The sequence below is a fragment of the Homo sapiens genome, chromosome 12 (assembly GCF_000001405.40).
Source record: "Homo sapiens chromosome 12, GRCh38.p14 Primary Assembly".
NCBI lineage: Eukaryota > Metazoa > Chordata > Mammalia > Primates > Hominidae > Homo > Homo sapiens.
In genome coordinates, this window is record NC_000012.12 from 112,933,221 (window position 1) to 112,957,669 (window position 24,449).

General features: G+C 45.3%; 1 protein-coding gene across 2 annotated transcripts in view, besides 15 other annotated features; it reads left to right on the forward strand.

The window, feature by feature from the left end:
- Positions 4-173: an enhancer, noted in NCBI's record as "experimental_24448 CRE fragment used in MPRA reporter constructs". NCBI's record gives its function as "activates a minimal promoter by MPRAs in K562 erythroleukemia cells, with activity observed for both the introgressed and non-introgressed 12:113371114 variant alleles {active_cell/tissue: K562}" and the evidence as "EXISTENCE:reporter gene assay evidence [ECO:0000049][PMID:34662402]".
- Positions 413-582: an enhancer, noted in NCBI's record as "experimental_24456 CRE fragment used in MPRA reporter constructs". NCBI's record gives its function as "activates a minimal promoter by MPRAs in K562 erythroleukemia cells, with activity observed for both the introgressed and non-introgressed 12:113371523 variant alleles {active_cell/tissue: K562}" and the evidence as "EXISTENCE:reporter gene assay evidence [ECO:0000049][PMID:34662402]".
- Positions 413-705: a biological region, named in NCBI's record as "Neanderthal introgressed variant-containing enhancers experimental_24456 and experimental_24461".
- Positions 536-705: an enhancer, noted in NCBI's record as "experimental_24461 CRE fragment used in MPRA reporter constructs". NCBI's record gives its function as "activates a minimal promoter by MPRAs in K562 erythroleukemia cells, with activity observed for the introgressed 12:113371646 variant allele {active_cell/tissue: K562}" and the evidence as "EXISTENCE:reporter gene assay evidence [ECO:0000049][PMID:34662402]".
- Positions 863-1,032: an enhancer, noted in NCBI's record as "experimental_24463 CRE fragment used in MPRA reporter constructs". NCBI's record gives its function as "activates a minimal promoter by MPRAs in K562 erythroleukemia cells, with activity observed for the introgressed 12:113371973 variant allele {active_cell/tissue: K562}" and the evidence as "EXISTENCE:reporter gene assay evidence [ECO:0000049][PMID:34662402]".
- Positions 2,907-3,076: an enhancer, noted in NCBI's record as "experimental_24487 CRE fragment used in MPRA reporter constructs". NCBI's record gives its function as "activates a minimal promoter by MPRAs in K562 erythroleukemia cells, with activity observed for the introgressed 12:113374017 variant allele {active_cell/tissue: K562}" and the evidence as "EXISTENCE:reporter gene assay evidence [ECO:0000049][PMID:34662402]".
- Positions 4,873-5,042: an enhancer, noted in NCBI's record as "experimental_24497 CRE fragment used in MPRA reporter constructs". NCBI's record gives its function as "activates a minimal promoter by MPRAs in K562 erythroleukemia cells, with activity observed for both the introgressed and non-introgressed 12:113375983 variant alleles {active_cell/tissue: K562}" and the evidence as "EXISTENCE:reporter gene assay evidence [ECO:0000049][PMID:34662402]".
- Positions 4,873-5,246: a biological region, named in NCBI's record as "ATAC-STARR-seq lymphoblastoid active region 7053".
- Positions 4,937-5,246: an enhancer, noted in NCBI's record as "active region_7053". NCBI's record gives its function as "activates an Ori minimal core promoter by ATAC-STARR-seq in GM12878 lymphoblastoid cells {active_cell/tissue: GM12878}" and the evidence as "EXISTENCE:reporter gene assay evidence [ECO:0000049][PMID:35858748]".
- Positions 5,210-5,379: an enhancer, noted in NCBI's record as "experimental_24505 CRE fragment used in MPRA reporter constructs". NCBI's record gives its function as "activates a minimal promoter by MPRAs in K562 erythroleukemia cells, with activity observed for both the introgressed and non-introgressed 12:113376320 variant alleles {active_cell/tissue: K562}" and the evidence as "EXISTENCE:reporter gene assay evidence [ECO:0000049][PMID:34662402]".
- Positions 5,254-24,449, forward strand: part of OAS3 (2'-5'-oligoadenylate synthetase 3) — a 34,778-nt gene continuing 15,582 nt past the window's right edge. For both annotated transcript variants that reach the window (NM_006187.4, NM_001410984.1), the window contains exons 1-7: positions 5,254-5,487; positions 8,350-8,632; positions 11,256-11,431; positions 13,523-13,761; positions 14,726-14,879; positions 15,641-15,985; positions 17,473-17,755. In NM_006187.4, the coding sequence (NP_006178.2) occupies positions 5,311-5,487; positions 8,350-8,632; positions 11,256-11,431; positions 13,523-13,761; positions 14,726-14,879; positions 15,641-15,985; positions 17,473-17,755 (1,657 nt within the window). In that variant the 5' untranslated portion in view covers positions 5,254-5,310. The remainder of the gene's footprint in view (positions 5,488-8,349; positions 8,633-11,255; positions 11,432-13,522; positions 13,762-14,725; positions 14,880-15,640; positions 15,986-17,472; positions 17,756-24,449) is intronic.
- Positions 5,467-5,556: a silencer, noted in NCBI's record as "silent region_4887". NCBI's record gives its function as "represses an Ori minimal core promoter by ATAC-STARR-seq in GM12878 lymphoblastoid cells {active_cell/tissue: GM12878}" and the evidence as "EXISTENCE:reporter gene assay evidence [ECO:0000049][PMID:35858748]".
- Positions 5,803-5,972: an enhancer, noted in NCBI's record as "experimental_24515 CRE fragment used in MPRA reporter constructs". NCBI's record gives its function as "activates a minimal promoter by MPRAs in K562 erythroleukemia cells, with activity observed for both the introgressed and non-introgressed 12:113376913 variant alleles {active_cell/tissue: K562}" and the evidence as "EXISTENCE:reporter gene assay evidence [ECO:0000049][PMID:34662402]".
- Positions 6,971-7,140: an enhancer, noted in NCBI's record as "experimental_24520 CRE fragment used in MPRA reporter constructs". NCBI's record gives its function as "activates a minimal promoter by MPRAs in K562 erythroleukemia cells, with activity observed for the introgressed 12:113378081 variant allele {active_cell/tissue: K562}" and the evidence as "EXISTENCE:reporter gene assay evidence [ECO:0000049][PMID:34662402]".
- Positions 15,840-16,009: an enhancer, noted in NCBI's record as "experimental_24535 CRE fragment used in MPRA reporter constructs". NCBI's record gives its function as "activates a minimal promoter by MPRAs in K562 erythroleukemia cells, with activity observed for the introgressed 12:113386950 variant allele {active_cell/tissue: K562}" and the evidence as "EXISTENCE:reporter gene assay evidence [ECO:0000049][PMID:34662402]".
- Positions 16,950-17,150: a silencer, noted in NCBI's record as "peak1965 fragment used in MPRA reporter construct". NCBI's record gives its function as "represses an SCP1 promoter by STARR-seq MPRAs in K562 erythroleukemia cells {active_cell/tissue: K562}" and the evidence as "EXISTENCE:reporter gene assay evidence [ECO:0000049][PMID:32103011]".

Below are 24,449 nucleotides of genomic sequence, written 5' to 3' on the forward strand. Positions count from 1 at the left end.
AAGTGTCATGAGTAAGGTTTCTTGGTGTTGATGTAGAAGAACAAAACAGAATTGTGAAATGAGAATCACTGCAGCTATCATGAAGTCCTGCCTACGTGCCCAGCAGTTGCTAGATTGGCCAAGTTTTCCCGTGAAGGGCAATATAGTAAATATTTTAGGCCTTATGGATCATCCAACCTCAGCTGGACTCTTCATCTCTGCTGTTGCCATATGCAAGCAGCCATAGACAACATATAAATAAATGGGTGTAATGGCATTTCAATTAAACTTTATTTATGGACACTGAATTTCACAATTTTCACGTCACAAAATATTCTTTTATTTTTAATATTCTTCTGTTGATTTTTTTTCTTAACCATTAAACATGTTAAAAAGTACAAAAACAGCTGGGTGCAGTGGCTCACACCTGTAATCTCAACACTTTGGGAGGCTGAGGCAAGCAGATCACTTGAGGTCAGGAGTTCGAGATCAGCCTGGCCAAGATGGTGAAACCCTGTGTCTATGAGAAATACAAAAATTAGCCAGGTGTGGTGGTGGGCGCCTGTAATCCCAGCTACTTGGGAGGCTGAGGCAGGAGAATCGCTTGAACTAGGGAGGCAGAGGTTGCAGTGAGCCACGATAATGCCACTGCACTCCATCCTGGGCTACAGAGCGAAACTGTCAAAAAAAAAAAAAAAAAAAGGCACAAAAACAAGCAGAGGCTGGACCAGATGTGGCCCATGGGCCATAGTTTGCCAGTTTCTTCCAACATTTCATTAAGAAAAATTTCCAAGCAAACAGCCACATTGAAAGAATTTTGCAGTGAACACTCATATACTCACCACATAGATTTTACAATTAACGTTTTATTGCACTTGCTTGATTGCATATCTACAATTTCTTCATCCTTCTATCCATCCATGAATCCATCTTATTCTTTTGATGCATCAGAAGATTCTTTTTCTGCCAGGCATGGTGGCTCACACCTGTAATCCCAGCACTTCGGGAAGCCAAGGCCGTTGGATCACCTGAGGTCAGGAGTTCGAGACCACCCTGGCCAACATAGTGAAACCCCGTCTCTACTAAAAATACAAAAATTAGCCAGACATGGTGGCACACACCTGTAATCCCAGCTACTCGGGAGGCTGAGGCAGGAGAATTGCTTAAACCTGGGAGGCAGAAGTTGCAGTGAGCCGAGACCACACTGCTGCACTCCAGCCTGGGCTGTCTCAAAAAAAAAAAAAAAAAAAAAAAAAAAAAGGAAGGAAGGAAGGAAGAGAGAGAGAGAAAGAGAGGAAAGAAAGAAAGAAAGAAAGAAAGAAAGAAAGAAAGAAAGAAAGAGAGAAAGAAAAGAAAAGAAAAGAAAAGAAAGAAAAAGAGAGAAAAAGAGAAAAAGAAAGAAAGAATATTCTTTTTCAAAAAGAAACCAGCAGCAATTTCTTCCCGGGCCAGTACAAGGTGGTGAGTGAGTTGACTAAGCAGACAGGCAAAAAGAGAGAGAGTATCTGTAGGAGGATACTGTCACCTTTTATATATAGGCAATAAGCAATAGTTTTCCAAGGAGAACAGCAGATGATTTGCTACTGTATCAACCAAGAATATATTTGACCGTAGTAAGTAACAGAATGTGTAACAGACATTCTGAGTCATTTTGTTACACCCACAACTGTGGGTGACCTGTCCAGATATGCCTTCTAATTCCAAGCACCCCAAGAAAACCCCTGTGCTTAAGATTTTATCTAGCCATGAATCCAACATTTTCTATTTGCTTATTAATTTTTTGTCCATCTTCTCTCGTTAGAATATAAATTCCATGAGAGCAGAGGCCTTTTCACTTATTCACCACACATGTTCTGTGCTAGACCAGTGGCTACCATAAAGAAAACACTGAATAAATATTTATTTATTTATTTATTTATTTTATTTTTGAGCCAGAGTTTCACTCTTGTCATCCAGCCTAGAGTGCAATGGTGTGATCTTGGCTCACTGCAACCATTGCCTCCTGGGTTCAAGTGATTCTCCTGACTCAGACTCCTGAGTACCTGGGATTACAGGTGCCTGCCACCATACTCAGCTAATTTTTGTATGTTTAGTAGAGACGGGGTTTCACCATGTTGGCCAGGCCAGTCTCGAACTCCTGACCTCAGGTCATCCACCTGCTTTGGCCTCCCAAAGTGCTGGGATTACAGGCGTGAGCCACCGCACCTGGCCTTAATAAATATTTATAAGAATAAGGAAAGGATCTGTTTTCCACATCTCATAAGTTGTCTTTTATACCTTTCTTTTCTATGTTCTGCTTTCCTGTAATCTCGAGTAATTTCCTCCATTCCATCTTCCAGTTTACTGATTTTATCTTCAGGTATATTTATTCAGCCTATCTATGGAGAAGGTTCGGTTTTTCTGTTCATCTTTGGTTTTATTTTGCATTATGTTTTCACTTCCAATGTGATAGTGGTGATTGTTGACTTTCATCACTGTTCTTATTTCATGGATATGATGAATAATCATGAATACAATGAATAATTATAATGGATATAATATCTAATCCCTCTGAGGATATTAATTATATATTTCTAAGACCGTATTAGTCCAATTTGTACTTCTAAAACAGAAAGCCACAGACTGGGAAATTAGTAAAGAACAGAAATTTACTTATCACAGTTCTGGAGGCTGAGAAGTGCAAGACCAAGGCTTCAGCAGGTTAGGACCTGGTCTCTATGCTTCCAAGATGGCGCCTTGAAGAATGTTGTGTCTTTTGGAGGGGAGGAACACTATGTCCTCACATGGCAGAAAAGCAGAAGACAATGAGCCCATTCCTCCAAGCTCTTTTCACAGTGGCCATAATCCACTCACGTGGGCAGAGCCCTCATGACACAAACACCTCCTGTTAGACCCCACTTCCCAACTGCTGCATTGGGGAGTAAGTTTCCAACACATGAATTCTGGGGGACAAATTTAGACCACAGAAGACTCTTTCTCCTTTATTGATTATTTCAGTGTCCTTACATGTGAGTTTTTATGTTCATAGCATTGGATCTCCCAAAATAATTTGGCACCTTTGGATGTGTGCTTTTTGCTCACTGGGGATGTTCTGCTTGTCTCCCTGTGAAGTTGGTACCTTCTTACTGCAGCTGGAGGCAGAGATGAGGAAAGGGGATGTGCCAGGAATGAGTCTTCTGCATACAGGACTTCCTGTTCTTTCCAGATGTGGCCAGGTATGCTGTGTACTTCCCTGCCTCTCTGCCCCACCCTCACTGCTCCCTCCTTAGGCAGGCACCTCTGCTGCCTGTTACTCAACACAGAAAGGTTGGGGCGGGAGACCACATGTCTTTAGAGGCTGCCATTACTATGCCAGCACAACTGACAACCATGAGAGTTAACCTAGGGTCCCTTCTTTTCCTTCAATCCACTGCCTGGAGCCTGCAGCTCCTCAGAGCCTTTCCACTCTGCATAGGTACCCCCTCCTTTATGTGTTTTGGCTGCAATTTCCTCCTTCATCCAGTCTCATATCTCTGACAGGGATCTCAGATTCCAGTTTACCTGGGACACCTCTGGTTAGGACCCAGCAACATTATTAAAGTTTTTCTATCGCTTTCCTGCCACCTCTAGAGGCCTGGGATGGACGTTGAAGGCTTATGCATATGTTCAGTCCACCATCATGACCCAATATTGACCCTTCTGCGTTCCATCTTCTAAAAATGCCTCAAATGTCCCGCCCCCTTGACTCCACTTTTTCTCAGTTTCCAACCCTGTTGATTTCCATTATGCTTTTAATATATCTTTGCTGCTATTTTAATAGAATTTTGAGCATGTGTTCAATCCACTATCTTGAATGGAAAGTTTCTAAAGTGGCCTGTGACTCAGGAAGAAGACTGTGATTAATGGGCGAGAATGAAAATCATTGCTCAATCCCTTGACTTAAATCCCCACCACAACACCTGACCTACAAAACCTGCCCATACTTGAATATTCCAAGTGATGCAGCATTCACTACTCAAAATATTAGCTGGTGTACATATTACAGACCCAGCATCTCTCCCTCTAGTTGACCATGACCTCTGAAATTCACACTCTGATCCTATCTATTTCCTTTCAGTTACCGTGCAGATGTCAGGAAGCACTTGTTAAGACTATTACCTGAAGTGTACTCAGAGGCAGAGTAAATGCTGGGTCCCGGAGCAGACAGGAGAGAGGACCTGGGAGTTTTTTAGTAAGATGGGGAGGAGGAGATAGGCTATGGCTTGGACCAGGCCTGGAAGAGAGCTCAGGTGTGCAGTCTCTAGGAACCCGGGTGGAGAAGCAGCAGGAAATAAGCAGAAAAAGGAGACAGGCCATGAAGATAGAAGCGCAATGGTCCTGGATTCAAATCTCCACTCTGCAGCTTATAGCTTACAGTCCGCTTAGCTTTGTGCCCATTCCAAGAGGATTTCCCTATTGTAGCTTTACAATGTTTTAATATGTAGTATTGTTGTGCAAGGTACCATCCTAAACTGACTGACTTTCCTTCCTCCTTCTCCTCCAAAATAATTTTTAATTCTTGCAGACAGACTTTAGATCGTGTGTTTGAAGTTTTTAAAGATGGAATTTTTATTGGAACTGCATTACACGTATAAATTATTTAGGAAGAGTTGGCTTCTGAAGAGGGCAGCTCTGTGGGCTTGGGCTGGGTTTGAATCCAGCCAGACAACTTTCCAGCTGTGTTACCTTGGACAGTTACCTAGTTCCTCTGTACCTTGACTTCCTCATCTGTCAAATGGGTGATGATAATAGCACCTACACCATGGTCGTTGGGAGGAGTCAGTGAGAGTCTCCAAGTGTGCTTTATTATCGTTGGTGGTGGTAGTGGTGTTTAGAACGCATCCCTCAGTCAGACAGCGAGGTAGGACTTCTCCGTTTATTAAATCCTGACCTTTTTTTTCCATGTAAAACCTGCACGTTTCTGAAATGCTCAGAGTACGTTACTCAGTATGTACCCATATGTTCTGTGGGTATACTTTGTTAGGTTGTGATTAGTTCGTTGGAGCTGGTGGTTGCAGGGACGGCTGGAAGCAAGGAGATGAAGGAGAGGAAGTCGTAGCTGGGAAGGGGACCAGGAAGTGGGTGTCAGGTCCAAGAGCTGCTAGAAAGAAACGAAACTGAAAGCAGGGAATTTCCCAAGTTTGGGGAAGACAGGAACTGCAGCGCCCCTCCCCGTTTCACGCCACGCGCGGGACCGAGGACCTAGGACCTGGCCAGCTGGGCGTGGTTCGGAGAGCCGGGCGGGAAAACGAAACCAGAAATCCGAAGGCCGCGCCAGAGCCCTGCTTCCCCTTGCACCTGCGCCGGGCGGCCATGGACTTGTACAGCACCCCGGCCGCTGCGCTGGACAGGTTCGTGGCCAGAAGGCTGCAGCCGCGGAAGGAGTTCGTAGAGAAGGCGCGGCGCGCTCTGGGCGCCCTGGCCGCTGCCCTGAGGGAGCGCGGGGGCCGCCTCGGTGCTGCTGCCCCGCGGGTGCTGAAAACTGTCAAGGTGAGGTCCCACCTCGGGGTCTTTATGTGTCCAAAGGGGAGTCCTGGGAGGACGCTTAAGCCTCACATAGGCTTACGGTGGGGGTGGCTTTATCCGCTTGTGCACCTCATTCATTTCTTTAACAAATACTTCCAATGTGCCAGCCCCGTGCTAACTCCCCCGAACATACGAGCCAGGTAGGTACTCTTAAGCCCGCTTGACAGATAGAGAAAATGAGGCACAGAGAGGTACAGTGACGTGTCCGATCCTGTAAGAGGCCCAGCCAGGATTCAAATCCAAGTAGCCTGATTCCTGCATCTCTACTCTCAGAGGCTGCTTCTTATCCATTCATTCACTCATTCACTCATTCTCCCAGTCATTCAAACAGACTGTGGGCCTCACACTATGCCAGACCTTAAGGTTACAGAAGTAATAACACTCCGCGTAACAGCCAGAGTAGCCCAATTTATTGAGACATTATCAAATAACAATGAAAATTATCTCATTAAATGAGTATTACCTCATTTCATCCCCACGTTCAGTGAGGCAGGTATTATTGTACCTGTTTTATGGATAGGGAAACTGAGGCTAGACGCTAAATTACTACTCTGAGTCACATCTTTTTTTTTTTTTTTTTTTTTTTTTTTTTTTGAGACAGGGTCTCGCTCTGTCACCCAGGCTGGAGTGCAGTAGCATGATCTTGGCTCACAGCAACCTCCGCCTCCTGGGCTCAAGTTATTCTCACACCTCAGCCTCCCAAGTAGCTGGCACTACAGGTGCACACTACCATGCCTGGCTAATTATTTGCATTTTTTGTAGAGATAGAGTTTTGCCGTGTTGCCCAGGCTGGCCTGGAACTCCTGGGCTCAAGTGATCCACTTGCCTTGGCCTTTCAAAGTGCTGGGATTACAGGTGTGAGCCACCATGCCCAGGTAATTTTTGCATTTTTTGTAGAGACGGGATTTCACCATGTTGCCCAGGCTCCGGGTCACTTTTTGTCACTTAAATACAGCCACACTGCCACTGTGATCCCAGGACACTCGCAGATTCAGGGAGGAGACAAGTCATGAGCTACCTTATCCTCAGGGTAGATTTGGGGGTGCCAGGAGTGGATTGATGGAGGGAACCTGGGTGTGCTAGAGGAGGTTGTCAGGAGAGGGAGTGAAAACGCAGAGTAGAAATGGCCTCAGAGCACCTAGTGGTTTCCTGGGGCTGACTCTCAGCTTGGGAGGTGGGGAAGGAGGAGACACTTGTCGCCTAGGAGGTGTGAAGTCCCGTTTCTACCTTGGAGATGGACAGGAGGGATTTCTGTGCAGCAAGGGAAAGCCCTGGCATCCTTAGCTTCCCTGGAAAGGGGTGGGAGGGGGTTCTGGAGCACAATCTCCCTGTGCTTTCATTGTCTCCTTTGTAAAGTGAGCACGGTGCAATCTCCCTGTGCTTTCGTTTCCTCTTTTGTAAAGTGGTACCTTCCTTCTGGGGCTGTGAGGAAGGTTCAATGAGATGAGAGTGTGCAAAACGTGCAGGAAGTGCCCAGCCTGTAATATTCCCTGTTCCCACTTTGTCAGCAGCCCCCAGATGGTGGGAGCTGGTAGTAAAAGGACTGGCATAATCATCGGGATAAGTAGGGGGTCCCAGTTTGAGGCAAGCCTTGCTCCTGGAGGGCTCCATCCTGGTTCTTGCTGTTTACTGGCTGTGTAACTCATTTCACCATCTGAGCCTCACTCCCCATATCTGCAGCCACATGTAACTACATCACAGTTGTTTTGTGTTGGAAGTGAGATTAGAGACGTCAGATCCCAGACACAGAACAGTGGCTCTGACAATGTTTAGGAGTTTCTTTTCCAAATCCTCAGGTTGGAAGCTTTGCCGAAAGAAACACTAATCACACAGGTCTCAGAAATTGAGTCATACCACAGTTCTGTACCCATTCTGAGCAAAGATTGCAAATGTGTGTTCTGCAAAGCAGAATTTGTTTTACCTGCGGTCTTGAGTTTTTAAAAAGTTAGTTGCCAACATTTAAAAATCATGGATATAGGCCTGGCATGGTGGTTCATGCCTGTAATCCCAGCACTTTGGGAGGCCAACGAGGGCAGATCACTTGAGGTCAGGAATTCGAGACCAGTCTGGCCAACATGGTGAAACCCCATCTCTACTAAAAATACAAAAATTAGCCAGGCATGGTGGCGCACACCTGTAGTCCCAGCTACTCAGGAGGCTCAGGTGGGAAAATCACTTGAACTCATGAGATGGAGGTTGCAGTGAGCTGAGATGGTGCCACTGCACTCCAGCCTAGGCAACAGAGTAAGTCTCTGTCTCAAAACTAAAAATAAAAATAAAATTACAAGTATGGATTTAGCCCAGCACGGTGGTGCATGCCTATAGTCTCAGACACTTGGGAGGCTGAGGCAAGAAGATCACTCGAGCCCAGGAATTCCAAGCTGCAGTGAGCTACAATCGTGTCTGTGAATAGCCACTGCACTCCAGCCTGGGCAACATAGCAAGACCCCATCTCTTTAAAAAAATGTAAAAACTAGCCAGGCATGGTAGCGTGTGCCTGTAGTCTCAACTACTTGAGAGGCTGAGGCAGGAGGATCACTCGAGCCCAGGAGTTCAAGGCCGCAGTGAGCTATGTGTTCCAGCCTGGGTGACAGAACAAGACCCTGTTTCTATGGAAAAAAAATCATGAGTTTACATGTTAAAATTGCTTCTCTTGAAATCTCGAGCCTGGCTACCCTGGGCCCACATTCCCGCGTGGCTTCAATGCCTACAGCCATGTGGCCACAGTCTCTCCCCAGCACACTTGCCTCACTCAAGTTGCCTGCCAGGTTGCAAGGCCACTAGAATTGGACAGTATGAAATTCTGAGTTATTTTTCTTTGCCCAGGGAGGCTCCTCGGGCCGGGGCACAGCTCTCAAGGGTGGCTGTGATTCTGAACTTGTCATCTTCCTCGACTGCTTCAAGAGCTATGTGGACCAGAGGGCCCGCCGTGCAGAGATCCTCAGTGAGATGCGGGCATCGCTGGAATCCTGGTGGCAGAACCCAGTCCCTGGTCTGAGACTCACGTTTCCTGAGCAGAGCGTGCCTGGGGCCCTGCAGTTCCGCCTGACATCCGTAGATCTTGAGGACTGGATGGATGTTAGCCTGGTGCCTGCCTTCAATGTCCTGGGTGAGGGGTTCCTAGACCATTCCAGGGTTGGGGGCAAAAGATCATTGGGAACAACACAGGACTTCCAATTCTAGCCCAGCCACCAACTTGCTGTTTGACCTGGGCCAGCCTCTACCCCTCTCTCAGCCTCAGTCTGGGGACTAAACATATTGGACTTGTGCCAGACAAAGGCAGAGAAACCCCAGTTCCTCCTGGATCTGTGGTCCTGCTGTCAAGATGCTTGGCCCTCCCACAGGCATCTGGGAGTTTCCCTCAGCCACTGCCTGGAGCGGTTACTGCTCAGCCCTTCCACAAATACTCCCGAAAGCTAAGCCAAGTGGACATGTGGCTAGCAGTAGGGGCCTGGGGACGAAACCAGAATTCTGCAAAATCTTGTATTTTATGTTGAAAACATCAATGTGATTTTTGTGTTCTCCTTCGTAATACACGTATGCTTGAGTTAAGATAAAAATAGGCCTCTGTGTCCTCATCTGTAAAATGAGGATAATACTAATGGGGATAATAGTAATCTTATAGAGTTGTCAGAAGAATTAAATGCATTAATATATGTAATCAAGCTTAGAAGTGTGTCTAGTGGGCCAGGCGCAGTGGCTCATGCCTGTAATCCCAGCTTCGGGAGGCCAAGTTAGAGACTGCTTGAGCCCAGGAGTTCAAGATCAGCCTTGGCAAAATAGCAAGATCTAGTCTCTACAAATAATAATAATTTTAAAAAATAGCCAGGTGTAGTAGTACATGCCTCCCTCTGATCCCAGCTACTGGAGAGGCTGAGGTGGGAGGATTGTTTGAGCCCAGGCAGTGGAGGCTGCAGTGAATTGTGATTTTGCCACTACAATCTGTCTGAGTAAGACTCTTCTTAAAAAAAAAAAAGAAATAAGAATGTCTAGCATGTGATAAGGGTTGTAAGAGTGTTTACTATTATTATTATTTCTATTATTGTTGTTGTTTCTATTATTATTGTTATTATTATTATTATTATTATTTACCTTGATGATCTGGGGGATAGCTTTATCCTTTGGGCAGATAGCCACATCCCCTATGCCTGGTACCCTAAGCCTAGTGTACCCACATACTGGGTACACACACACACACGCACACACATTTTTAAGACAGGGTCTCACTCTGTCACCCAGGTTGGAGTGTGGTGGCATGATCTTGGCTCACTGCAACCTCCGTCCTGGGTTCAAGCAATCCTCCCACCTCAGCCTCCCGAGTAGCTGGGCTACAGGCATGCACCACCATGCCTGGCTAATTTTTGTATTTTTTATAGAGATAGGGTTTCACCATGTTGTCTAGGCTGGTCTTGAACTTCTGAGATCAAATGATCCACCTGCCTCAGCCTCCCAAAGTGCTAGGATTACAGGCACAAGCCACCCCACCCAGCCTGGGTACACATATATTAATCATAATAGTTACTACTTATTAAATGCTTAACTATTCCAAGAACTTGACATGTTTTATCTCATCAATTCTTCACAACAAACTTATGAGGTCTGTACTGTTTCAGCTTCAATTTTACCATTGGGGAAACTGAGGCTCAGAGACATACAGTGACCCACCCAAAGCCACACAGCAGGCAAGCGGTAGCAGCAACCTCAGGGAATTATGGAAAGTGTTTACTTCTCCCAAGCCATGCCCATGGGAGTGGTGGCGGAAAAGGCGCACCCTGCAAAGTCCACTGGCTCTGAGCTCAAATCCTGCCTCCATCGCATGCTGGCTGTGTAACCTTGGGCAAATCATGGAATTTCTCTGTGCCTCAGCTTCCTCAGCTATCAAGTGGGATGAAGAACTGTACTTGCCTCATAGGGTTGTGGTGGGGATACATGTAAAGACCTTCTGTCCAGTGCCCAGTATGCAGTAAAAAAAATATATATTTTTTTCTAAGACAGAGTTTCGCTCTGTCCCCCAGGCTGGAGTGCAGTGGTACGATCTCAGCTCACTGCAACCTCTGCCTCCTGAGTTCAAGCAATTCTCGTGCTTCGGCCTCTGGAGTAGCTGGGATTACAGGCGAGTGCCAACATGACTGGCTAATTTTTGTATATTTTGTTGGCCAGGCTGGTCTCGAACTCCTGACCTCAGGTGAACCTCCCACCTTGGCCTCCCAAAGTGCTGGGATTACAGGTGTGAGCCACAGCGCCAGGCCTGTAGTAAAAAATATCAACAACCACTGCTAAAGGATCAGGGCTTTTTGCCTTTTATTTCTTGGGCATCGTTTTCCTCTCCGTGACACCTCTTAATTAAGGATATGTAGAGTGGTGTTTTGAGGAAGGCTCAGGGAGGAGAGAGTTGCCAGGCTGCAGGCACTGCTGACTCAGCTGGAAGCAACTTTCCTGTTTAACCATCTTGGAATGCAGCTGCTCCTCTTTGAGCTGTTGCTCTAGGGACTGCCTGGCCATTTGGGATGGAGGGACTCTCCCACTGCATTCTGGAGTGCCGCTCTTCTTCCCTGCCTCCTGAAAAGCTCCAGGCTCTCTTCCCAGTCCCCCGACTCCCATGTTACCAGATTTCTTCCCCTCTGAATTCTTCCCACTCTCTCTCAGCGCCCCAGGCTGAGCTCGGCACCAACACCGCCCTCCATCCTGTGTCCTCAGTGCCCTCCCTAACTCACAGCGCTTCACACCAACAGGTCAGGCCGGCTCCGGCGTCAAACCCAAGCCACAAGTCTACTCTACCCTCCTCAACAGTGGCTGCCAAGGGGGCGAGCATGCGGCCTGCTTCACAGAGCTGCGGAGGAACTTTGTGAACATTCGCCCAGCCAAGTTGAAGAACCTAATCTTGCTGGTGAAGCACTGGTACCACCAGGTGAAGCCACTTGGAAGGGTTTCTCCAGACATGTGACTGTTTGCTTTGTGCTTTCATAGTCGTGAAACTGTTGTCTTACATTTAGTGGCCATTCATGTTCTCTCTCTGGGAATTGTCTGTTTATGTCCCTTGTGCATTATTTTCTCTTGGGTTAGCTGTCTTGTTACTGATTTGTTGAAGCTCTTTATATATTGTGGATACTGATCCTTATTTAGTTAATATAATGCATTCTTCCAATAGTCTTCCAGTCTGTGTCTTGGGCTTTTGCTTTGTTTAAAGGTTATTTGTAGGACAAAATATCTACAGTTTAATGTACTCAGATATATCCTTTGAAAAATGAGTTATTCTTTGTGTGTCTTAAGAAGTCTTTCCCTATCCTGCCAGGTGCAGTGGCTCATGGCTGGAATCCCAGCACTTTGAGTGGCCGAGGCAGGTGGATCACTTGAGGTCAGGAGTTCAAGACCAGCCTGGCCAACATGGTGAAACCCTGTCTCTACTAAAAATACAAAATGTAGCCGGGCGTGGTGGTACACACCTGTAATTCCAGTTACTCGGGAGGCTGAGGCAGGAGAATCTCTTGAACCCAGGAGGCAGAGGTTGCAGTAAGCCAAGATTGCACCACTGCACTCCAGCCTGGGTGACAGAGCCAGACTCCATCTCAAGGAAAAAAAAAAAAAAAAAAAAAAGAGGTCTTTCCCTGTCCTGACTTTGTAAAATGACTCTTTCATATTTCCTGCCATCATATTGTTTCCTATTGTATTTCTGTTCATATTCAGGGCTTTGGCCTGTCTGGTATGGTATGAGGTATATGCGGAGTTGGTACACTTCCCTCCCTAGCCTCAGGGATGCTCCCTTGCTCTGTTCATGTTTGTTGCCAGACTCTTATGCACTGGGGAAAGTGTGCCCAGCCTATGCCTGGAGATGGGGGAACAGGCTCCCCCAAAATCTTGCAGCACATGGACCAGTCATCATAAGCAGGTCTCTCAAGGAAGAGATTCTGGATTCCAGTTCTGGCTCAGCCATCTTCTTGCTGTGTGACCCTGGACAAGTTCCTAGCCTTCTCTGGGCCTCTGTTTCCTCCACTTGCACATAAAGAAATATATGCATCGGCAAATCTTACTCAGGTTCTTTCCATGTAAGATTCTCCAGGGGCAGAAAATGCTAATAGCCTGGTACTTCCTAAAAGGGCAAACTGCTGGGTATGGTGGCTCACGCCTGTGGTCCTCTCCACGCAGGAGGCTGAGGCGTGAAGATCACTTGAGCCCAGGAGTTCAAGGCTGCAGTGACCTAAGATTGAGCCACTGCACTTCAGCCTGGGCAACAGAGTAAGACTCTGTCTATAAATTAATTAATTAATTAATACAACTATGGAGCCAGCCTGGTTGGGCGTTAGAAATTCTATCTTGATCTGGGTGGTGGGTACACATGTGCACCCACGCATGTTTGTCACCCCAGAGAGAGGGGGTGAGCGGAGGGAGTGTGGAGATGCTGGGTGCTTCTAGCCAGGGGGGTCACTTTCTGGCATGCTGAAGCATCCCCTCTGGAGTTACCCAGAGGCCTGGGATTCTTGCCTTGGCATGGAGTAATCCCTCCCTGGTACGTGGAGATCCCAAGTATATGGTGCACAAATAGAAATCATGCATTTTGGGATGGGGGATAGACGGCTGGAGTGAGGAGGGAAGGACAGAGTTCTGGCCCGCTGCCCCACCCCACTCCAGGGGTGAAAGGGCGACAACTTGGTGTCCTTCTCCAATCAGCCACGCAACTGGGACCCCAGATCTGCTTCACCTTTATTTGAGGATAGATAGCAATTTCAGACTACCCTTGGCTTCTCTCTGACTGCTCCCTGCCTCCTTGGGACTTGAAACTTACACCCCTCCCTCCCACCACTCCCCCATCATATGAGCCAACCACTTGGCTGAAGCTACCAGTGAGGGCTGGTGAGAAATGCCACTTGTTCTTGGAACAGGCTTGGAACACAGCATCTTGCCTCAGGCTCGGCCTGGAAGGTCCCCAGTCTGGTTATGCAGAGAGCTGGCTCTCTTTCCTCCCCTTCTTCCTTCTGAGTCCCCTGCCGATGCCCTCTCACAGGTGTGCCTACAGGGGTTGTGGAAGGAGACGCTGCCCCCGGTCTATGCCCTGGAATTGCTGACCATCTTCGCCTGGGAGCAGGGCTGTAAGAAGGATGCTTTCAGCCTAGCCGAAGGCCTCCGAACTGTCCTGGGCCTGATCCAACAGCATCAGCACCTGTGTGTTTTCTGGACTGTCAACTATGGCTTCGAGGACCCTGCAGTTGGGCAGTTCTTGCAGCGGCAGCTTAAGAGACCCAGGTACTTCCTAATAGCCCACCATCTGCTCTCCTGTCCCGGGGCCAGGGGGAGATAATTGACAAGGACAAAACCGGTTACATCTACTGAGTGCTTGGGTATAGAGGCCAAAGCAAAATGCTACATGTACATGTTTTAATTCACTGGACTCAGCCCAGATGCACATTAGAATTACCTGGGGGAGTTTTAAAAAATATACCAGTGCCTGGCCCCACAAGTTTTATGCGTGAATGTTTTGCTGATGTATAGCAGAAAGTGCATGTTCTGATGACTGTGTGAAGACCGCATACTTTGAAACCACCACCCAGATCATGGTAGAATATTTCCAGCACCCCACTGGTCCCCTCTCAGTCAGTAACCTTCCAAAATAACCCCACTTACACTTTTATAATTACAGTTGTGCCTTTTCTTAAATCTTATTTAAATGGAATCATGCCACATGTACTTTTGTGTCTGGCTTCTCGTTCTGTTCTCAAGATTAAGTCTTTGAGATTTAGCTATATAGTTGTGGATCATTCTTTTTTGTTGCTGTATAGTATTCCATTGTGTGAATTTATCAAAATATGTTGTCTATTCTACTGATGATGGACATTTGAGTTCTTTCAACTTGGAACTATTACAAATAGGGCCATCATAAACATTCTTGGACATGTTTTTTTGGTGCATATGCATATCTGTTGGAAATATACCTAGGAATGAAATTGCTGAATTGTAGGGTGTAACTCAAGAGCCCTTGAGAGTGGATCCTGGTATCTTGTGATTCCAACGTGCAGCCAGGGTTGACAATGATAAGCAGGCAATGTTGTTTTCCTCATTTTGCGGATAAGGAAATCGAGGCTCAGAGAGGGTAAATCATTTGCCCCAGGTCACACAGCTGGAAAGTAGCAGAGATGCGATTGGAACCAGGTCCGTTTCACTCCAGAGCCCTCTTGCTAACCAGAACCTTCTTGTCTCTCTGAAATTGCAGGCCTGTGATCCTGGACCCAGCTGACCCCACATGGGACCTGGGGAATGGGGCAGCCTGGCACTGGGATTTGCTAGCCCAGGAGGCAGCATCCTGCTATGACCACCCATGCTTTCTGAGGGGGATGGGGGACCCAGTGCAGTCTTGGAAGGGGCCGGTAAGTGAGGGGGCCCCAGGACCCTTGGGTTTTGCACTTTGTTTATGTGTCCAGTGTTTCCTGAGCATCTACTATGTGCCATATGGTGTGGAACAGGCTTTAAAAAGCAGGGGTGGCCAGGTGTGGTGGCTCACGCCTGTAATCTCAACACATTGGGAGGCCGAGGTGGGCAGATTACCTGAGGTCAGAGGTCAGGAGTTCGAGACCAGTCTGGACAATATGGTGAAACCTTGTCTCTACTAAAAATACGAAAATTAGCCAGGCATGGTGGTGGGTGCGTGTAATCTCAGCTACTCGAGAGGCTGAGGCAGGAGAATTGCTTGAACTAGGGAGGCGGAGGTTGCAATGAGCTGAGATCACTCCATTGCACTCCAGCCTGGGTGACAGAGTAAGACTCCGTCCCAAAAAAAAAAAAAAAAAAAATGCACAGGGCATCAGGCATGTAAAACAGTCTTATCACCAAGCTCAAGCTGAAACTGCCCGGGGGAAGGAGTCCTTTGTTTTTCTGCAGCTATGGTCTGGTTACCAGACCTTTCTGCCCATCACAAGGGCACCCATTTTGCAGTTTATCCCTCCAGAAAGGCACCTTTTTCAACTCTGCCCAAAGATGGCCATGTGCGTTAGCCATGGCCCTCCCACTTCCCCTCTCTGAGCCTCAGTCACCCTGACTGTACAAAGGGCGGGAGCTGGGGAGAGAAGGCATTGGGTTGATGCAGAAACCACTGCGCCTGGCTGAGGCAGCTCCTTCAATGACCTTCCAGGGCCTTCCACGTGCTGGATGCTCAGGTTTGGGCCACCCCATCCAGCTAGACCCTAACCAGAAGACCCCTGAAAACAGCAAGAGCCTCAATGCTGTGTACCCAAGAGCAGGGAGCAAACCTCCCTCATGCCCAGCTCCTGGCCCCACTGGGGCAGCCAGCATCGTCCCCTCTGTGCCGGGAATGGCCTTGGACCTGTCTCAGATCCCCACCAAGGAGCTGGACCGCTTCATCCAGGACCACCTGAAGCCGAGCCCCCAGTTCCAGGAGCAGGTGAAAAAGGCCATTGACATCATCTTGCGCTGCCTCCATGAGAACTGTGTTCACAAGGCCTCAAGAGTCAGTAAAGTGAGTTGGGCCAGTGGAGACACAGGGGGGACCCTATCGAGGGATCAGCGTGGGGAAGGGAAGGAGTTACAGCAATGGAGCTGAGGTTGGGCTGGGGAACTGGACGGCCCAGGAAGGATGATTTGCTGGCTTAAATAAAATATATTTAAGTGCCAGCTTAGATTTTCTTTTTTTTAATGATACAGTTTTTAAAACACTATTACAAGAATCAGATCACTTCCCTCCTCAGCTCAAAATTCTCCATGGTTTCACAGGGCGCAGAGGCCTCAAGTCCTACAGGATGGGCCCTGGTCTCCCTCTGGCCTTGACTTACTCCACACTGGCCTCCTGGCTGCTCTGAGCTTACCAGGTCCACAGAACAATTCAAGGCCTCTGTAGTGGCTGTTTTCTCTTCCTAGAAGAAAATGAGAATTCTCTTCCCCAACCATTTGGCTCTCTCTCTCTCGCTCTCTCTGTCTCTCCTCTTCAAGTTTCTTGATCTGATGTCCTCGTCCACTGAGGCCTGACCACACGATTTAAAATTGCAGTCTTGCCCGGGCACGGTGGCTCACGCCTGTAATCCTGGAACTTTGGGAGGCCAAGGTGGGCAGATCACCTGAGGTCAGGAGTTCAAGACCACCCTGGCCAACATGGTGAAACCCTGTCTCTACTGAAAATACAAAAATTAGCTGGGCATGGTGACGGGCCCCTGTAATCCCAGCTATGCAGGAGGCTGAGGCAGGAAAATCGCTTGAACCCGGGAGGCGGAGGTTGCAGTGAGCTGAGACCATGCCACTGCACTCCAGCCTGGGCGACAAGAGTGAAACTCCGTCTCAAAAATAAAAATAAATAAAAATAAAATTGCAGTCTTGCACTACCAGCCCCCTTTCTGTTCTGCACAGCACTTAGCATTTTCTCAGGACCTATTGTTTATTGATGGTCCCTTCCTTCCCTCCCCCAGCCAGCATGTAAGTTCCAGAAGAACAGAAATTTTGTATCCTCTCTTCTTCTTTCTTTCCTGCAACAAACATTTAGTGAGCACTTACATGTATCGGATATGTGTGATATCCCGTGTGAAGGAGGGAGGGAGGGAGGGAATTGATGGAAACAGGGCAACAGAGGACAATTGCAGGCCCTATTAGGGCTTGGGACCTCAATTTGCAACTGCTGGCCCAGATGTGCAGTCAGTAGATGCTGCAGATAGTAGGCTAAAATGTTTGGTCGCTGCCCCTACTTAATCCCACCTCCATTATCTGTTGCTGCAGTTTGGTCTGACTTAGCTCAGTCTTCATGGATCAGAGGGCAGGTGCAGGCAGATACAACTTGACTCTCTGTCACAATTCTAAGAGGTCACAGGACCCATGCAGTCGACCTTTGTCATAGTCCCCAGACCTGACATCAGCAAGAGGGCAGGTTCCAGGCTGTAGATGGGGCGCAGGTGATGGGATCGTAGTCCGACTCCCAGGCTCCTAGAGGGTCCCTGATCTGAGCTGTTCTTCCCTCCACAGGGGGGCTCATTTGGCCGGGGCACAGACCTAAGGGATGGCTGTGATGTTGAACTCATCATCTTCCTCAACTGCTTCACGGACTACAAGGACCAGGGGCCCCGCCGCGCAGAGATCCTTGATGAGATGCGAGCGCAGCTAGAATCCTGGTGGCAGGACCAGGTGCCCAGCCTGAGCCTTCAGTTTCCTGAGCAGAATGTGCCTGAGGCTCTGCAGTTCCAGCTGGTGTCCACAGCCCTGAAGAGCTGGACGGATGTTAGCCTGCTGCCTGCCTTCGATGCTGTGGGTGAGGGCGCCCAGCCTGTCCCTTGGAGAGTGATAGGGACCTCAGGCGCCCATCTAACAGGGGCACCTGCCATCCTCTTTGTGATCCTAATTCTCCTACTTGACCAAGCATTGAAAACTACTTTGAGATACTGAAAGTAATCATCACCATCAAATCTTACAACTATTTAGTGCTTTAACTTTACAAATATTTTAATTATGAAATGTTTCAAGCATACAGAAAACTACAGACGTCACACACCCATGTAGCCCAATTCAGATTTAACAAATGTTAACAGTAGGCATATCTGCTTGGTATTTTTTTAAAGAAATTTCTCATGTTATAATTTTCTTCCTTATTTTAAAGGGTTTACTTTATGGTTCATTTTTTTTTAACTTTCGGAGGTGAATCTTAGCTTAGTAATTATCAGTTTTAGTCAATGCAATTAAAGCTACCCATTTCCCTTTCAGTATCACATTAGCTACAGGGCAAATCTTTTGTTTGACATGCATAATTTTTATTATCATTCCGGTCTAAATATTTAGTACTTTTAATTATGACATTATTGTTTGTTCTTTCATCCATGAATATTTGGAAGTAGCTTTCCAAATGAATGTTTTGGAGATTTGTTTGCTTTCGGCATTTACTTATTATGTTTTTTAAAACTGTAGTCAGAAAACATACTTTATGTGATATCAATTCTTTGGAATTTGTTGGCATTTCTTAGATTGCCCATGGTTGAAAAGAATGCATGCTTTCCATCCAGGCATGGTGGATCACACCTGTAATCCCAGCATTTTGGAAGGCCAATGCGGGCAGGTCACTTGAGGTCAGGAGTTCGAGACCAGCCTGGCCACAGTGAAACCCCATCTCCACTAAAAATACAAAAAAAAAAAAAAAAAAAAAAAATAGCCTGGCATGGTGGCACGCACCTGTAATCCCAGCTACTCGGGAGACTGAGGCAGGAAAATCTCTTGAACCTGGGAGGCAGAGGTTGCAGTGAGCTGAGATTGCACCACTGCACTCCAGCCTGAGAGACAGAGTGAGACTCTATCTCATGCTTTCCATTGCTGAATGCAGACTTCTATATAGGTCCTTTAGATCTAGCTTATGACTTCTTGCTCGGATAATTTTTTGTTTGGTCTCTCAATTTCTGAGTAAAATATCTTAAAATCTCCTGCTCTGAATGGATATTTATCCCTTGTTCCTTGCAATTCTGTAAATTTTGTTTTTAATATTTTGAGGCTATGTTATTGGGAACATATAAGTGCATAATATTATATTTTATTGGATTGTTCTTTTATTATTAAGTAATAATCTTCATTTCTGAAAGTTATCTTTGTCTTAAAGCCTTTTGTCTGACATTAATAGGGCTTTAGTCCTCCTTTGTCAGCATTTTCCTGACGTACCCTCTCTACTCTTTATTTACTAGCATGTGTTATTAAATTGTACCCATTACAGGCAGCACAAAGCTAAAAGACAAAAATGAAAGAAGCAACAATGATATAATGATCTTCAAGGGTTTGATAATATCTTGGAACTAAACTTCCAGACACTAATAATAGGGGAGATTATTTCTTTTGTTTTTGTTTTTACAATCTATGCAAATTAAACCCTATTAATATAATTAACAAATTTTTTCACCATTGCTACTTGATTTCCTGTTCTTCCTTCTGGATTCATTTTCCTTCTTACAGAAATACATCTTTTAGTACTTTTTCAGAAAGGGTTTATGAGTGACAAATTTTTCTCAGACTTTGTCTAAAACCATTTCTGTTTCACCTCCATGCTTGAATGGGATGCTTGACACTTGTTTTCCTTAGTTCTGCTGTCTTCTTACCTGTTGTTGCTGATGAGAAGTCTCTGTCAGTTATTGATTTTTTGTTGTTAATGATCTGTTTTCTGTTTGCATGCATGAATTTTGTTTGTTCATTTTCTTTTGATTTCCCTTTCAGTGGCTTTTAAGACTTTCTCTTGGTTCATAGTATCCTTCAGTTTCTCTTTGATGTATCTGTGTATAGAATTCTTTTTTTCTATGATTTTTTTATTATACTTTAAGTTCTAGGGTACATGTGCACAACATGCAGGTTTGTTACATATGTATACATGTGCCATGTTGGTGTGCTGCACCCATTAACTCGTCATTTACATTAGGTATATCTTCTAATGCTATCCCTCCCCACTCCCCCCACCCCACGACAGGCCCTGGTGTGTGATGTTCCCCACCCCGTGTCCAAGTGTTCTCATTGTTCAGTTCCCACCTATGAGTGAGAACATGTGGTGTTTGGTTTTCTGCTCCTGTGTTCGTTTGCTCAGAATGATGGTTTCCAACTTCATCCATGTCCCTACAAAGGACATGAACTCATCCTTTTTTATGGCTGCATAGTATTCCATAGTGTATATGTGCCACATTTTCTTAATCCAGTCTGTCATTGATGGACATTTGGGTTGGTTCCAAGTCTTTGCTCTTGTGAATAGTGCCACAATAAACATATGTGTGCATGTGTCTTTCTAGCAGCATGATTTATAATCCTTTGGGTATATACCCGGTAATGGGATGGCTGGGTCAAATGGTATTTCTAGTTCTAGATCCTTGAGGAATCACCACACTGTCTTCCACAATGGCTGAACTAGTTTACAGTCCCACCAACAGTGTAAAAGTGTTCCTATTTCTCCACATCCTCTCCAGCACCTGTTGTTTCCTGACTTTTTAATGATCGCCATTCTAACTGGTGTGAGATGGTATCTCATTGTGGTTTTGATTTGCATTTCTCTGATGGCCAGTGATGATGAGCATTTTTTCATGTGTCTGTTGGCTGCATAAATGTCTTCTTTTGAGAAGTGTCTGTTCATATCCTTTACCCACTTTTTGATGGGGTTGTTTGATTTTTTTCTTATAAATTTGTTTAAGTTCTTTGTAGATTCTGGATATTAGCCCTTTGTCAGATGAGTAGATTGTAAAAATTTTCTCCCATTCTGTAGGTTGCTTGTTCACTCTGATGGTAGTTTCTTTTGCTGTGCAGAAACTCTTTAGTTTAATTAGATCCCATTTGTCAGTTTTGGCTTCTGTTGCCATTGCTTTTGGTGTTTTAGTCATGAAGTCCTTGCCCATGCCTATGTCCTGAATGGTATTGCCTAGGTTTTCTTCTAGGGTTTTTATGGTTTTAGGTCTAAGATGTAAGTCTTTAATCCATCTTGAATTAATTTTGTATAAGGTGTAAGGAAAGGATACAGTTTCAGCTTTCTAGATATGGCTAGCCAGTTTTCCCAGCACTATTTATTAAATAGGGAATCCTTTCCCCATTTCTTGTTTGTCTGTTTGTTTGTTTGTTGTTGTTGTTGTTGTTGTTGTTTGAGATGGAGTCTCGCTCTGTTGCCTAGGCTGGAGTGCAGTGACGCGATCTCGGCTCACTGCAAGCTCCACCTCCCAGGTTCACACCATTCTCCTGCCTCAGCTTCCCTAGTAGCTGGGACTACAGGTGCCCGCCACCACATCTGGCTAATTTTTTTGTATTTTTTAGTAGAGACAGACAGGGTTTCACCATGTTAGCCAGGATGGTCTTGATCTCCCGACCTCGTGATCCACCCACCTCGGCCTCCCAAAGTGCTGGGATTACAGGCGTGAGCCACTGCGCCTGGCCCCATTTCTTGTTTTTGTCAGGTTTGTCAAAGATCAGATGGTTGTAGACATGTGGTGTTATTTCTGAGGGCTCTGTTCTATTCCATTGGTCTATATCTCTGTTTTGGTACAGTACCATGCTGTTTTGGTTACTGTAGTATAGTTTGAAGTCAGGTAGCGTGATGCCTCCAGCTTTGTTCTTTTGGCTTAGGATTGTCTTGGCAATGCAGGCTCTTTTTTGGTTTCATATGAACTTTAAAGTAGTTTTTTCCAATTCTGTGAAGAAAGTCATTGGTAGCTTGTTGGGGATGGCATTGAATCTATAAATTACCTTGGGCAATATGGCCATTTTCACAATATTGATTCTTCCTATCCATGAGCATGGAATGTTCTTCCATTTGTTTGTGTCCTGTTTTATTTCACTGAGCAGTGGTTTGTAGTTCTCCTTGAAGAAGTCCTTCACATCCATTGTAAGTTGGATTCCTGGGTATTTCATTCTCTTTGAAGCAATTGTGAATGGGAGTTCACTCATGATTTGGCTCTCTGTTTGTTTGTTATTGGTGTGTAGGAATGCTTGTGATTTTTGCACAGTGATTTTGTATCCTGAGACTTTGCTGAAGTTGCTTATCAGCTTAAGAACATTTTGGGCTGAGACGATGGGGTTTTCTAAATATACAATCATGTCATTTGCAAACAGGGACAATTTGACTTCCTCGTTTCCTAATTGAATACCCTTTATTTCTTTCTCCTGCCTTATTGCCCTGGCCAGAACTTCCAACACTATGTTGAATAGGAGTGGTGAGAGAGGGCATCCCTGTCTTGTGCCAGTTTCCAAAGGGAATGCTTCCAGTTTTTGCCCATTCAGTACGATATTGGCTGTGGGTTTGTCATAAATAACTCATTATTTTGAGATGCCTCCCATCAATACCTAGTTTATTGAGAGTTTTTAGCATGAAGGGCTGTTGAATTTTCTCAAAGGCCTTTTTGGCATCTATTGAAATAATCATGTGGTTTTTGTCTTTGGTTCTGCTTTTATGATGGATTACGTTTATTGATTTGTGTATGTTGAACCAGCCTTGCATCCCAAGGATGAAGCCAACTTGATCAGGGTGGATAAGCTTTTTGATGTGCTGCTGGATTCAGTTTGCCAGTATTTTATTGAGGATTTTTGCATAGATGTTTTATTGAGGATTTTCGCATAGATGTTCATCAGGGATATTGGTCTTTTTTTGTTGTGTCTCTGCCAGGCTTTGGTATCAGGATGATGCTGGCCTCATAAAATGAGTTATGGAGGATTCCCTCTTTTTCTATTGATTGGAAAAGTTTCAGAAGGAATGGTAACAGCTCCTCTTTGTACCTCTGGTAGAATTCGGCTGTGAATCCATCTGGTCCTGGACTTTTTTTGGTTGGTAGGCTATTAATTATTGCCTCAATTTCAGAGTCTGTTATTGGTCTATTCAGGGATTCAACTTCTTCCTGGTTTAGTCTTGGGAGCGTGTCTGTGTCCGGGAATTTATCCATTTTATCTAGATTTTCTAGTTTATTTGTGTAGAGGTGTTTATAGTATTCTCTGATGGTAGTTTGTATTTCTGTGTAATCGGTGGTGATATCCCCTTTATCATTTTTTATTGTGTCTATTCTATCCTTCTCTCTTTTCTTCTTTACTAGTCTTGCTAGCAGTCTATCAATTTTGTTCATCTTTTCAAAAAACCAGCTCTCGGATTCATTGATTTTTTGAAGGGTTTTTTGTGTCTCTGTCTCCTTCAATTCTGCTCTGATCTTAGTTATTTCCTGCCTTCTGCTAGCTTTTGAATGTGTTTGCTCTTGCTTCTCTAGTTCTTTTCATTGTGATGTTAGGGTGTCAATTTTAGATCTTTCTTGCTTTCTCCTGTGGTCATTTAATGCTATAAATTTCCCTCTACACACTGCTTTAAATGTGTCCCAGAGATTCTGGTATGTTGTGTCTTTGTTCTCATTGGTTTCAAAGAACATCTTTATTTCTGCCTTCATTTAGTTATGTACCAAGTAGTCATTCAGGAGCAGGTTGTTCAGTTTCCATGTAGTTGAGTGGTTTTGAGTGAGTTTCTTAATCCTGAGTTCTAGTTTGATTGCACTGTGGTCTGAGAGACAGCTTGTTATAATTTCTGTTCTTTTACATTTGCTGAGGAGTGCTTTTCTTCCAACCATGTGGTCAATTTTGGAATAAGTGTAATGTGGTGCTGAGAAGAATGTATATTCTGTTGATTTGGGGTGGACAGTTCTGTAGATGTCTATTAGGTCCGCTTGGTGCAGAGCTGAGTTCAATTCTTGGATATCCTTGTTAACTTTCTGTCTCATTGATCTGTTTAATGTTGACAGTGGGGTGTTACAGTCTCCCATTATTATTGTGTGGGAGTCTAAGTATCTTTGTAGGTCTCTAAGGACTTGCTTTATGAATCTGGGTGTTCCTGTATTGGGCGCATATATATTTAGGACAGTTAGCTCTTCTTGTTGAATTGATCCCTTTACCATTATGTAATGGCCTTCTTTGTCTCTTTTGATCTTTGTTGGTTTAAAGTCCCTTTTATCAGAGACTAGGATTGCAACCCTTGCTTTTTTTTGTTTTCCATTTGCTTGGTAGATCTTCCTCCATCCCTTTATTTTCAGTCTATGTGTGTCTCTGCATGTGAGCTGGGTCTCCTGAATACAGCACACTGATGGGTCTTGACTCTATCCAATTTGCCAGTCTGTGTCTTTTAATTGGAGCATTTAGTCCATTTACATTTAACGTTAATATTGTTATGTGTAAATTTGATCATGTCATTATGATGTTGGCTGGTTATTTTGCTCGTTAGTTGATGCAGTTTCTTCCTAGCATCGATGGTCTTTACAATTAGGCATGTTTTTGCAGTGGCTGGTACCGATTGTTCCTTTCCATGTTTAGTGCTTCCTTCAGGAGCTCTTGTAAGGCAGGCCTGGTGGTGACAAAATCTCTCAGCATTTGCTTGTCTGTAAAGGATTGTATTTCTCCTTCACTTATGAAGCTTAGGTTGACTGGATATGAAATTCTGGGTTGAAAATTCTTTTCTTTAAGAACGTCGAATATTGGCCCCCACT